Genomic DNA, 13,212 nt, shown 5'->3' on the forward strand with positions numbered 1-13,212 from the left:
GGCAAAGTTAATCTCCCAAAGGAGTTTAGCAAGGGAGAGCTTAGAAAGGCCTGAAGCTCACCTACCCTTAGGTGTCATTTGTAAATGCCTCTTTACCAAGGAAAGATAGTGCCTTAACTTGTTCTGAGCACTTGTACCTGCTCTGCAATGTGCTGGATTCTTGGGATAAAATGTCATGTAAGAGTCTGACCCTACCCCCAGGAAGCTGTCAGTCTAATGAAATAAATAAATAATATTCATCATTTCAATTGTATTTTGGGAGTCTTCCAGTTATCACCAATTTCAGTCTCTGAGCCGAAGCGATCACCTTAGATTGTGAGCCAAGGAAGGACAGATCCCTGAGAAGACTTCATGCAGCTCTAGGAAAAGCCTATACTCTTCAATCATCTGGCTTCTGATTTCGCAATGAGAAAACTATACCCTCGTCTGCCTCAAACGAGGAACCCCTAATACTTAGCTAAGAATTGCTAACATTTTTTGGTATCTATGTCCTAGACCCTATGTTTAGTACTTGATAACTTAATCTCTATCAGTTGGTCTCAATTTGCCAACTGCTAGGGAAAAAGCATCACACTATGGAGATACGGAAGCATACCAACTACCCCTCCCTTCAATCAGCCTGCCCTTGCTTCTAGCAGGTGACCCCCACCTCACCCCATCTTCTATTTTTCTTTTCTTTCTTTCTTTTTTTTTTTTTGACAGTCTTGCTCTGTTGCCCAGGCTGGAGTGCAGTGGTGGGATCTCGGCTCACTGCAAGCTCCACCTCCCGGGTTCACGCCATTCTTCTGCCTCAGCCTCCCAAGTAGCTGGGACTACAGGCACCCACCACCACGCCTGGCTACTTTTTTGTATTTTTAATAGAGGTGGGGTTTCACCATGTTAACCAGGATGGTCTCCATCTCCTGACCTCGTGATCCGCCCGTCCCGGCCACCTGAAGTGCTAGGATTACAGGTGTGAGCCACCGCGCCCAGTCCTCAGTATACTCAAACAATAGTTCCCCTCTTCTGTTAGTATCTGTTAGCACCTATGAGACTTAAGATGTAAAACTTTTTTTTTTCTGAGACAGAGCCTCGGCTCTGTCGCCCAGGCTGGAGTGCAGTGGCATGATTTCAGCTCACTGCAACCCCTGCCTCCCGGCTTCAAGCGATTCTCATGCCTGAGCCTCCCTCCCGAGTAGCTGGGATTATAGGTGTGCACCACCACACCCAGCTGGGTCTTGCTTTGTCGCCCATGCTGGAGTGCAGTGGTGCAATCTCGGCTCATTGCAACCTCCACCTCCCGGGTTCAAGCAATCCTCCCACCTCAGCCTCCCTAGTAGCTGGGATTACAGGCGTGTGTCATCACGTGCAGCTAATTTTTTTATTAGAGACGGCGTTTCACCATCTTGGCCAGGCTGGTCTCAAACTTCTGACCTCAGGTGATCCGCCCGCCTTGGCCTCACAAAGTGCTGGGATTACAGAAGTGAGCCACCACACCCAGCCATGTGTTTGAACTAATTCTGTCTCCTATCTTTTTAAGTGGTGAAAGGGAGGCTGGATTTGTCATTAGCTCAAGCATAAGGAAGTCAGGATTGCGAATAGCATTTCATGACCCTTCCATCTCCTTTCATATTCATTAACAGAGCTCACATTTAATAATAATTTTTAACAGTGTTTGCAAATGTTTGTGGCAGCTTTATTTGAAGTAGCCAAAAACCGGAAACAACTTCAACATCCCTCCACAGATGAATAAATAAACATTGTGATGTATTCATACAATACATACTCTTCAGTTATATTTTTTAAATGAACATTGATACGTACTATATAAGAATATCAAAATAATTATGCTAAGTGAAAGAAGCCAGAAAAAAAGTATATACTGTATGATTCCATTATATAAATCTAGAAAATGCAAACTCATCAATAGTGACAGCAGATCAGTGGTTGCTTGGAGTGTAGAGGATGGGGATGGCAAGAGGGCCGGATTATAAAGAGGAACAAGGAAACTTTGAGGAGTGATGGATGTGTTCACCGTCTTGATTGTGGTGATGGTTCATGGGTACATACCTAAATTAAAACCTAACAAATTGTACAGTTAAAATATGTGCACTTTATGCCAATTATACCTGAATAATGCTTTTTATAAAATTGTTGTATGAAGCTTAAAATCTGGTCTCCCAAGACCAATATTCTCCAGAAGGCTTCTCCTGACATAACAATTCTTCCTTCTTCTGACACCGTTGGTCCCCTGCTCTTTCCAAACCCTGTGTGCCTCGGAACAATGGCCCTGCAACCACCGCTTTCCTTCAGAGAGTGAGCCAGTCCTTGCCCTGTGCTTCCTTCTAGTCAGTGCAACCAAACTCTGATCTGGTCCTCCTTGACCCCTCTGATGCTCCCATGGCACCATTATTTTCTCCAATCTCCTAGCCTCTTGTAATACTTGTTGAATTTACATCTCCAGCCATCCTCCTTCCTATTTTTTCTCCTTTTGGAAGAAACGATGCAAAACCTTGTTTCCTTGTCACACAGTATTTCAAAATAGAGGTGTTATAATTGTATTTATTTTTTACTGTAGACCAAACATTACTATAAACATTTAGCTAGAATCACTAGTTTAGAGAAGATGAGATTTTGTAATAGGTTGGGAACTACTTGACATAAGAGACGAGAAAGGAAACAACATGGATTAGAGGCATAAAATAAGCCAAGGATAGTCCTAAATTCTGTTAAAAGTATCTCTCACTTACCTCATTCTTAGTCTTGAATATGGAGACTTCTGGCTTTCTATCTCCACTGGGCCCTGGAACTGTGGCAGCCAGAGCCTCACCTTCCAGGTAGGAGATTTAAAGAGTCTTTTGGAGAAATCTGACCAGCCCAAGAAAAAAAGACTTTTAGATAGTGACATACAGGATCCCAATAGACTCGTCAGCCAAGGCATTCTATACTGAATCCTACAGTAGATATTTCATTGCCTGCTCAATTTCCACTCACTATGTACATATTTTTAATCGAGACCATATTCCCCACCTACTTTATTACTGGAATTCACTTTGCTTGAAGGGAGATTAGGCAGACTTCAGTCACCATCATCATCTAGCATACCACATTTAAAACAAACCAACCTTGAATTTAACTGAAAGTTGCAAGTTTACTATGTGGATTAACGGGGTGCTACATACAGGTGAGGAACTTTGGCAGAGCGGCCAGTGTGTTTTTACAGACGTTCATCTTTAACAATTATCAAATTAGTTTAGACAGTGCTGGCTTTTATACTTAAGGAAATGAACAGACAACCTGGTCAAGTATCATTTTCTAGAAAAATAGTGGGGTTTTTTTTGTTTGTTTATTTTTTTGAGACGGAGTCTCGCTCTGCTGCCCAGGCTGGAGTGCAGTGGCGCGATCTTGGCTCACTGCGACCTCCGCCTCCTGGGTTCAGGCCATTCTCCTGCGGCAGCCTCCTGAGCAGCTGGGACTACAGGCGCCCGCCACTACGCCCGGCTAATTTTTTAAAAAAATATTTTTAGTAGAGATGGGGTTTCACCTTGTTAGGCAGGATGGTCTCCATCTCCTGACCTCATGATCCGCCCGCCTCGGCCTCCCAAAGTGCTGAGATTACAGGCGTGAGCCACTGCGCCCGGCCTGAAAAACAGTTTTTAATTACTTCTCAGTGGGAGGACATTTTAGGGCATCCGCTCTTCTCCAATCACAGTCAGGTCCGGCTTCCTTTGGTATCTGATGGCAATGGCTGAAATGAGCTGAGCTGAGTTCCTCTCCCTTCACATTCTGGAGTGGCTCTTTACTGAGTAAGAAAGTGAATTAACATTTATTTAGCTTCTTCCTTGGAGCTGGGTACCGGGTCAGCCTCTTTTCAGAGAGCTTTTGCTCTTGTGGTCAGAGTTACCCTGCAGTTTTCTCCTGGCTCTTACATGACATATCTCAGTACAGGTGTCAAGCCAATGGGACAAAGCCATAGTCCTGTTTTCCTTCCCTCCTTCCCTCCCTCCCTCCCTTCCTTCCTTCTTCCCTCCCTCCCTCCCTCTTTCCTATTGCCCAGGCTGGAGTGCAGTGGCACCATCTCAGCTCACTGAAACCTCCGCCTCCCGGGTTCAAGCAATTCCCCCGCCTCACCGTCCCGAGTAGCTGGGTTTACAGGGGTGCCCCACTACGTCCGGCTAATTTTTGTATTTTTAGTAGAGACGGGTTTCACCATATTGGCCAGGCTGGTCTCGAACTCCTGACCTCAGGTGATCCATCCGCTTCATCCTCCCAAAGTGCTGAGATTACAGGCGTGAGCTACCGCGCCCGCCCTCTAACTGTTTCTTTGGAGTGCTGCTAGGAAGATTCAAAGAAGTGCAAATAAGGTACCAGCGGAGGCTGGTTTGTCTCCTTGCAATTTCTTTGTGATCACCCCTGGGATCACTCTTCTACAGCGTTCCGACAGTGTTCCAAAAACTTCCCTGCACCAGCGGCAGGGGCAGATTTCCCACCCGGCCATGATTCATGTAGAGCAGTGTCAAAACCAGATCCTTTCCTTACACGCTCATTCGCCGAAAGACCCATGCTATGCTGACGGGGTTCCAACCTGGGCTTCACCGACTCCACGTCAGAGGGTCTGTGATTCCCTGAGAGGGTACCCTTAGGCTGAGAGCAAGGGCCCACCTGCACTCTGCGCGAAGGACTGTGGTTTTCATCGGGTTGTCGAGAGCGTTCTAACCCAAAATGCTTTAAGAATCACAACTCTAGCCCTTCTAATCAAACTGCTTTGGCCAAGACGTCCGTTTTGAGTTGCATTTGAACCCTAGCCCTCGGTGGGAGGCACACTCACTTCCACGTTCACAGTTCTTGGAAGCGGTCCCACTGGGGGCGGGGCTGAGCGCGACCGCGCCCTCAACTCCCCCTATTGCCCGCCCCGGGGTGGGGCATAACCACCCAACAGGCTCCTTACTCAAGCTCGGGTTCTTCTCCTAGGCGGAAGCCAGACCAGAGAGCGTGCGTGTTTTTCCCAGGGTGCCCCGCGCTGCTGTTATGGCCGCCTCCTTGAGGTAGTATCCGCACATGGAATTCTAGGGCCGCAGGTGTATTTACGGTAACTGTCGCCACTAGATTTCAGCGCCTTTGGACTCTCCTGTTTTCACTTTCTTTTGTTGACTCCCGTGTGGCCCTCGTGGGAGCCTGTTTTGGCTGCAGCGGTGTCTGGGGTGATGTGGACCCCGGAGCTGGCAATTCTGAGGGGATTCCCCACTGAGGCTGAGCGGCAGCAATGGAAACAGGAGGGGGTCGTCGGTTCAGGTGAGAGGCGCACCTACCGGGCCTTAGGCTATCGTGGGAACTGTGAGGAAAAGGGATGGCAGCGACTGATTCTCATCCCTCCCTTCATTTTTCCCTAACACAGTCTAGCTGATTCCTTGAGGCTTTGGGTCGTTTAGTCTTTGACATGGTGGGCGTGGTCCTCACTTTCTTTGCGCAAAACTTCTTACCGCCCAGGTTCAGTAATAATGACAATGGCAATGTCAGTTATTTTTCTAAGCCCTTAACATGTACTCAGTCATTTAATGCTTATAGTAGATACTTAAGGTAGATTCAATTTTTAATCCCATTTTGCGGTGAAGATCTGTAAATACAGTTGGGTTAAGTAATTTTATTTTATCTATTTATTTATTTATTTATTTATTTATTTATTTATTTATTGAGACGGAGTTTTGCTTTTTGCCCAGGCTGGAGTGCAATGGCGCGATCTCGGCTCGCTGCAACCTCCGCCTCCCGGGTTCAAGTGATTCTCCTGCCTCAGCCTCCAGGGTAGCTGGGATTACAGGCATGCGCCACCACGCCCGGCTAATTTTGTATTTTTAGTAGAGTCGAGGTTTCACCATGTTGGCCTAGCTGGTCTGGAACTCCTGACCTCAGATGATTCGCCTGCCTCAGCCTCCCAAAGTGCTGGGATTACAGGCCTGAGCCACCGCGCCCGGGTCTGGTTAAGTAATTTATTTAAGGTCACACTGTTGGTAAGCAGAGGAGCTAAAATGAGGCAGCAAAGTTGTTTTTTTGGGGGGATGGAGTCTCCCTCTTGTTGCTCTGGCTGGAGTGCACTGGTGCCATCTCGGCTCACTGCAACCTCCGCTTCCCCGGTTCAAGCGATTCTCCTGCTTCAGCCTCCAAAGTAGCTGGGACTACAGGCATGCACCACCATGCCCGGCTAATTTTGTGTTTTTAGTAGAGACGGCTTTCATCATGTTGGTCAGGCTGGTCTGGAACTCCTGACCTCAGGTGATCCACCCGCCTCGGCCTCCCAAAGTGCTGGGATTACAGCCATGAGCCACCATGCACGGCCTAGGCGGCAATGATTTATTTTTTTTATTTTTTTGAGACAGAGTCTCGCTCTGTCGCCTAGGCTGGAGTGCAGTGGCGCGATCTCGGCTCACTGCAAGCTCCACCTCCCGGGTTCACGCCATTCTCCTGCCTCAGCCTCCCGAGTAGCTGGGACTAAAGGCGCCTGCCACCACGACCAGCTAATTTTTTTTTTTGTATTTTTAGTAGAGACGGGGTTTCACCGTGTTAGCCAGGATGGTCTCGATCTCCTGACGTCGTGATCCACCCACCTCGGCCTCCCAAAGTGCTGGGATTACAGGCATGAGCCACCGCGCCCAGCCTAGGAGGCAAAGATTAATTCTTGTGAGCAATGAATATTTACCAGAGAGATAAAGAGTTAAAAGGCACATGCACTGGCACATCTGGTTGTGGGATTTAGGCTGGACCCAAAAGAGTAATAATGAACAGTGTAGTGTGTAAGTACTCTGTGTGTATGTGTGTGTGTGTGGGCACTTGTGTGACACAGTAGGTGCTTCCAGTGACAGGAAGTTTGAACTTTGGTGGCCTGGAAAACTTTCCTAGAAGAAGTTAGACTTGAGCTGATTTTGGATTAAAGGGTAAGACTAACAAGTGGAGAAGAGTTCAACAGGCGATATCACAAGTGCAAAGTGTGGAGGCAGGAATACGCATGGGACATTAGGGAAACAATGAGTAAACCAGCGCTCTTGGAGTGACTTTTCAAGAAGAGAAAATAATGGAGGTAGAAAGAACCAGATTGTGAAAAGTTTTAGAACCTTGACTAAGGAAACTTTTGTATTGTCAGTAGGAATCTTTGTGAATTTCCCAGCAAAAGACTAAATACCTATTAATGAGGAATATTATTTCTGGGGCTGACTTCCACTTTGGGGCTCATAGTCAGTATGAGTGAGCTGCTAATTCTAGGAGAGAGAATGTTTGTAGAATGATGGAAATTTACTGAGTGCCTTGTGACTGACATACAGTAATCATTCTAAGTCTATAGATTGTTTTTGCACACTAAAATGGTAGATTTACCTAATAGTGTTATCCTTTACGGTATGAAAAATAATTTTTTTTGGATTACCGCACTAATTTTTTATATTACAGAGAGTGGATCTTTCCTACAATTGCTACTGGAAGGGAACTATGAAGCCATATTCTTAAATTCAATGACTCAAAATATTTTTAATTCAACAACAACCGCTGAAGAAAAGATTGATAGCTACCTGGAGAAGCAGGTAGTAACATTCCTGGATTACTCAACAGATTTGGACACAACGGAAAGGTAGAATTTTATTTGAAATTTTCATAGAGGAACAGAGCAAATACATTTAATAGCACCTTGACAGGGTAAGGCCCTGATTTTAGCAGTTGAGAAACCTTGCCTTATATTTTACTCAAGACTCATGGTGTACCAAGTAATCTATGTAAAAACTCATCCAGAAGTCCATCCAGAATGAAGAAGTAAAGTGGTGCAGGATAAAATGGTTTCATATATGAGACTGGCACATATTTTGGTGTTAACTGCAAATGCTTAGGTCTGGTCGGCTTTACCCACCGGCAAAACTTCAGACCTTATTTCCTTTAACTTAAAAACATACTTTCAGGCTGGGTGCAGTGCTTCACGCCTGTAGTCCCAGTGCTTTCGGAGGCCGAGGCGGGCGGATCACATGAGGTCAGGAGTTTAAGACCAGCCTGGCAAACATGGTGAAACCCCGTCTATACAAAAATACAAAAATTAGCTGGGCATGGTGGCATGCGCCTGTAATCCCAGCTGCTAGGGAGGCTGAGGCCGAAGAATCGCTTGAACCTGGGAGGTGGAGGTTGTAGTGAGCCAATATCCCGCCATTGCACTCTAGCCTGGGCGACAGAGCGAGACTCTGTCTCAAAAAAAAACCAAAAAACAAAAAACATACTTTCAATCTTGTTATTTCTGCATAGCTGAGTGCTAATTTGTAACTATTTATTATGTTTTAGATTATTATCTTTATAGAGCTCAGAGAACTTAATGTTTTTGTAAGGAAGCCCTTGGTTTACCTTCTTCCATTAAAGTTTGTGTAATTTTATAGGGTTAAGTATAGCAGATAGTTACACAGCAGGGAAACCTAAGCTTTTCAGTGGCTTATATTTCATTGTTATAAATTTGATACCTCTATCTTTCGTCTACTATCTGTGGCAACCATGTCAAGCTTTAATTATCTTATAAATGCATGCAATTTTATTTTACCATTATTTCTAGGAAATAGCTTCATTTAGTCCTTCAACAAATAAACTATTGTAGTAGATGTGGAGGTTCTGAGGATGAATAAAGCATAACCCATATTCATAAGGAGTTTGCAAAAGAATGCTACTACAGGCTTTTAATTTTATTTTGAAAATTAATATTATTCATTTTCTTTTTTCTTTTTTTTTTTTGATGGAGTATCACTCTGTTGCCCAGGCTGGAGTGCAGAGGCGTGATCTCGGCTCACTGCAACCTCCGCCTCCCAAGTTCAAGTGATTCTCTTCCCTCAGGTTCCCATGTAGCTGGGATTACAGGCCTGTGCCACACCTGGCTCATTTTTTTTGTATGTTTAGTAGAGATGGGGTTTCACCATGTTGGCCAGGCTGGTCTTGAACTGCTGACCTCAGGTGATCTGCCCACCTCGGCCTCCCAAAGTGCTGGGATTACAGACGTGAGCCACTTCGCCCAGCCTCCATTTAATTTTTTTTAGTTTACTGGTAGTTATGTTCCTTTGGTATCATTCTTTTTTTTTTTTTTTTTTAGTTCCTTTTTGTAGAGATGGTGTCTTGATATGTTGCTCAGGCTGGTCTCGAACTCCTGGGCTCAAGCAATCCTCACCTCTGCCTCACTAAGTGTGGGGATTATAGGCATGAGTCACTCCGCCCGGCTGGATTCTCATTGCTTTCTTATATGTGTGCACTCTCATAGCAACTAGCCTTGTGGCACCCATTAAAACAACACATTCACACAAATGCATTATTCACTGATATACCAGATTTCTATCTTGTCACATAAAGCTAAAAAGAGACATTTCAGTTGACTCATTTTCAGACATTTGAAAGTTAAAGTGTATTTTCAGTTCACCTTATGGATTTTGTTTTTTGATTAGGACAGTTTATTAAGGCTGTTTTCTCCAAATTTCCAAACTTCTGATTGCATACCAGCTCTTTTGTTATCTTTTTTCTCTAATGCTGCTTATTTGCATTGCATCCAGAGTTTTATATTTTTGCTACCATAGGCTTGTATGTTTGATTTTTTTTTTTCTTTTTCTGAAAGACTCTTCCTTTTAAGGAAGGGCCTAGGGGCTGTGGGGAAAAAAGTGATTACTAATACTTTCTCTTCAGAATGAAACTCCAGGATTCCCTGGCTGTTATTTGCTAGAGTTGGATCTGTACCTATTTAGATCCTAATTTAGGGTTTGGCACATTATGGCTGGCAGGCTAACTAAGTGGCTAAGAATTAATGGGTTTTACATTTTTAAAGGGTTGGAAAAAAACAAACATGATATGCAAAGCCTAAAATATTTCATATTTAGAAAAAGTTTGCCTATCCCTGTCTCACATCACAGCAAGACTGAAAAATAGAGTTTTCACTAAAATATCTATATGTTTTGTTGTTGTTGTTGTTCTAGCATTTGGTGGTATGGGATTGGTAAACAATTAGCAACAACTTTATATCATCACTTTTCTTTTGTATAAAGTCAGTTTTCTATACATCTTGCAACATCAGAGCTGTTAAAGGGAGTGCAAGAAAAACTTATAGATGTCTGATCAGAACCTAAATCAACACCGTTCAAGATAATTTTCCGTGGAGATAGAAGTGCTCTCTATCTTCATTGCCCACATGGTAGCCACTAGCCACACTTAACTATTGAGCACTTGAAATATGGAAAGTATGACTAAGGAACTGAATTATAAATTTTATTAATTTTAACTAATGCAAATTTAAACCATGTTTGGCTCGTGGCTATAATATTGGATATTGTAGACCTAATTTCTTTTTTTTTTAAGAGAGACAGGGTCTCGCTTTATCATCTAGGCTGGAGTACAGTGCTATGATCAAAGCTTACTACAGCCTCAAACTCCTGGGCTGCAAGCAATCCTCATGCATCAGCCTCTTGAGTAGCTGGGATGTACCACCATGCCGGCTAACTTTTAATTTTTTTGTAGAGACAGGGTCTCACTATGTTTCTCAGGCTGGTTTTGAACTCCTGGGTTCAAATGATCCTCCTACCGTGGCCTTCCAAAGTGCTGGAATTACAGGCATGAACCACTGTGCCTAGCTAACCTAAATTGTTTTAAGTTTTAGAAATTTTTTTTTTTGGTAATACTCTAGGATAGTCTCAATAAATGTTGATAGATATTATTTTCTTAATAAAACTGAAATGGAATAGTGTGTTTGAGATTATACAGTGATAGTAGTTCATATTTATTTCTTTAACCATTCTTATATGCAGACAACAGTTGATATTTCTACTTGGTGTGAGCAGTTTGCAACTTTTTGTTCAGAGCAACTGGACGGGGCCCCCTGTTGACTTACACCCTCAGGACTTTTTGTCATCTGTTTTGTTCCAGCAATTCAGTGAGGTATGCTTCTTGAAAATGTTGTATGTAATTATTATTATGTTATTTATTTTTTATAAGCAGGTCTTTATAAACTGGAACTCATAGTAGGAAAGAAACATGACTTTATGGTTTGCACAAAAGTACTAAGAATGCTTGTTCATTGATCAGATTTTCACAGATTTCCAGAAGTTCCTTTGTCAAACTCCTCTTCATACACACTCCATTTTATGGAGCTGTGTTAGCTGTGTTTTTTAATGAAAGTACAGACAGCTGCACCAGTTGTTTAGTTGGTTGTATCACCTCAGTTACATAAAGATTTTTTTTTTTTGAGATGGTATCTCACTCAGTCATCCAGGCTGTTGTACAGTGGCTGGATTACAGCTCACTGCACCCTCAACCTACTCAGGCTCAGGCGATCTTCCCACCTCAGCCTCCCAAGTAGTTGGGACTACAGTTGCATGCCAACATGTCCAGCTAATTTTTTTGTAGAGATGGAGTTTTGCCATGTTGCCCAGGCTGGTCTGAAACTCCTGGGCTCAAGTGGTCTGCCTGCCTCAGCCTCCCAAAGTGCTAGGATTATAGGTGTGAGCGCTGTACATAAAGATCTTTAATGGCAAAGCAGCAAATCTGGAAATCTGTTTAATTTTATTTCAGGTAAGTTTTTAACTAATTAATTAATTAATTTTTTTTGAGACAGAGTCTTGCTCTGTCACCCAGGCTGGAGTACAATGGCGCGATCTCAGCTCACTGCAACCTCTGCCCCATGGGTTCAAGCAATTCTTCTGCTTCAGCCTCCCTAGTAGCTGGGATTACAGGCGTGTGCTACCACACTTGGCTAATTTTTGTATTTTTACTAGATGTGGGGTTTCTCCATGTTGGCCAGGCTGGTCCCAAACTCCTGACCTTAAGTGATCCTCCCACCTCAGCCTCCCAAAGTGCTGGGTTTACAGGCGTGAGCCACCATTCCCGGCTTGCAGGTAAGTTTTGATACTGTACTTAAGAATGGCTCCCAGGAGTGGTTTGCTCCCAGGGGTGGCTTTAAATTACAAATACTTTATTAAAGTTTCTGGCACAGCATTGCTTCATGGTGATTATTATCCATTGTGAAGATAATATTATCGATCTGTGCCAGTGTGTCGCCAATAGAGCTTGCAGTTTGAGTTCCTCAGGAATCTTGAGCTCCTATATAGAGGGTCTGGCTAGTATGAGATGATCTACAAAAGAAGTATGGTTTAAATCAAAGTAAGAACTTTGATTTATCCAGCCACTTTGGTGATTTTGAACGTAGCTATCCACCACTCAGCCTGGAAAAAGCTGAGTGATTGATAGCTATGTTCAAAATCACCAAATTGTATCCAGAACTCGTGCAGCAAAACAGACCTAGTGTTACCTGGTTTCTCAGAATTAGGTGTAGCAAGTAGGCCGGGCACAGTGGCTCATGCCTGTAATCCCAGCACTTTGGAAGGCCAAGGCGGGCGGTTCACGAGGTCAGGAGTTCAAGACCAGCCTGATCAACATGGTGAAACTCCGTCTTACTAAAAATACAAAAATTAGCCGGGTGTGGTGGTGCACGCTTGTAATCCCAGCTACTCAGGAGGCTGAGGCAGGACAATTGCTTGAACCCGGGAGGCGGAGGTTGCAGTGAGCCAAGATCACGCCACTGCACTCCAGCCTGGGTGACAGAGTGAGACTCCATTTCAAAAAAAGAAAAAAGAAAAAGAATTGGGTGTAGCAAGTAAATGTGGAATAGAGTTATTAGAGATATGTGTTAATAATTTGATGGGGGGGTAGAAAGAGAAGAAGTGCAAAAACAAGCATAAAGTGAAAACCACAATAATTAACTCTTTGCATATCAGCTTAGTGAGTCACTATATATACTTCATTAGAGTAATTTTAATCCATAATGCTGATCCTAATTATAACTGAAAGGTTAAAAGATGTTTTGTGTCTTATGTCTATGAAGGGAATTTATAATTTATATTCTACAGAGGTTTTCATCCAAAATGGGAGTAAAAAAACCCCAAACCCTAAATGATTGTAGCAGTTAAAGAGATAAGCTTCAGTTATCTAGAAATGTACTTAGGAAACATCTCATTCCCTCTCTTATTATGTATGAATCAGTTTCTGGCTTCTATGGCCCTATAGTATAGATTAGAAATCCACCAAACAGCCAAAGCCATAAATATCTCCTGAACACTGATGTGTGGTTTGAATGGTACTTAATTCGCATTTCTTTTTTTTTGTTTTGAGACGGAGTCTCACTCTGTCGCCCAGGCTGGAGTGCAGTGGTGCGATCTCGGCTCACTGCAGTCTCTGCCTCCCGGGTTCAAATGATTC

General features: G+C 43.5%; 1 protein-coding gene, 1 long non-coding RNA gene and 1 other non-coding gene across 7 annotated transcripts in view, besides 5 other annotated features; 2 read left to right on the forward strand and 1 right to left on the reverse strand.

The window, feature by feature from the left end:
- Window positions 1-1,653: 1,653 nt before the first annotated feature.
- LOC124905985 (uncharacterized) lies at window positions 1,654-3,669 on the reverse strand. Its single transcript, XR_007086273.1, has 3 exons — window positions 3,524-3,669; window positions 2,730-2,847; window positions 1,654-2,061 (listed from the first exon to the last, which is right to left on the reverse strand). It is a non-coding gene; the product is annotated as an uncharacterized LOC124905985 (long non-coding RNA).
- Window positions 4,141-4,802: an enhancer, noted in NCBI's record as "H3K27ac hESC enhancer chr2:32852317-32852978 (GRCh37/hg19 assembly coordinates)". NCBI's record gives its function as "activates a minimal SCP1, AML or CMV promoter by ChIP-STARR-seq in naive and primed H9 embryonic stem cells {active_cell/tissue: H9 hESC(naive and primed)}" and the evidence as "EXISTENCE:reporter gene assay evidence [ECO:0000049][PMID:30033119]".
- Window positions 4,521-4,580: an enhancer, noted in NCBI's record as "active region_15559". NCBI's record gives its function as "activates an Ori minimal core promoter by ATAC-STARR-seq in GM12878 lymphoblastoid cells {active_cell/tissue: GM12878}" and the evidence as "EXISTENCE:reporter gene assay evidence [ECO:0000049][PMID:35858748]".
- Window positions 4,803-5,462: an enhancer, noted in NCBI's record as "H3K27ac hESC enhancer chr2:32852979-32853638 (GRCh37/hg19 assembly coordinates)". NCBI's record gives its function as "activates a minimal SCP1, AML or CMV promoter by ChIP-STARR-seq in primed H9 embryonic stem cells {active_cell/tissue: H9 hESC(primed)}" and the evidence as "EXISTENCE:reporter gene assay evidence [ECO:0000049][PMID:30033119]".
- The window catches only part of TTC27 (tetratricopeptide repeat domain 27), a 193,002-nt gene continuing 184,730 nt past the window's right edge, over window positions 4,941-13,212 (forward strand). For 4 of the 5 annotated variants that reach the window (NM_017735.5, XM_011532958.3, XM_005264416.3 and 1 more), the window contains exons 1-3: window positions 4,941-5,271; window positions 7,414-7,591; window positions 10,767-10,896. In NM_017735.5, the coding sequence (NP_060205.3) occupies window positions 5,184-5,271; window positions 7,414-7,591; window positions 10,767-10,896 (396 nt within the window). In that variant the 5' untranslated portion in view covers window positions 4,941-5,183. The remainder of the gene's footprint in view (window positions 5,272-7,413; window positions 7,592-10,766; window positions 10,897-13,212) is intronic. The other variant, NM_001193509.2, reaches the window with a different exon arrangement.
- Window positions 4,991-5,050: an enhancer, noted in NCBI's record as "active region_15560". NCBI's record gives its function as "activates an Ori minimal core promoter by ATAC-STARR-seq in GM12878 lymphoblastoid cells {active_cell/tissue: GM12878}" and the evidence as "EXISTENCE:reporter gene assay evidence [ECO:0000049][PMID:35858748]".
- Window positions 5,301-5,430: a silencer, noted in NCBI's record as "silent region_11343". NCBI's record gives its function as "represses an Ori minimal core promoter by ATAC-STARR-seq in GM12878 lymphoblastoid cells {active_cell/tissue: GM12878}" and the evidence as "EXISTENCE:reporter gene assay evidence [ECO:0000049][PMID:35858748]".
- MIR4765 (microRNA 4765) lies at window positions 12,146-12,222 on the forward strand. Its single transcript, NR_039922.1, has one exon. It is a non-coding gene; the product is annotated as a microRNA 4765 (primary transcript).

This window comes from Homo sapiens, chromosome 2, assembly GCF_000001405.40.
Source record: "Homo sapiens chromosome 2, GRCh38.p14 Primary Assembly".
In the NCBI taxonomy this organism is placed as follows: domain Eukaryota; kingdom Metazoa; phylum Chordata; class Mammalia; order Primates; family Hominidae; genus Homo; species Homo sapiens.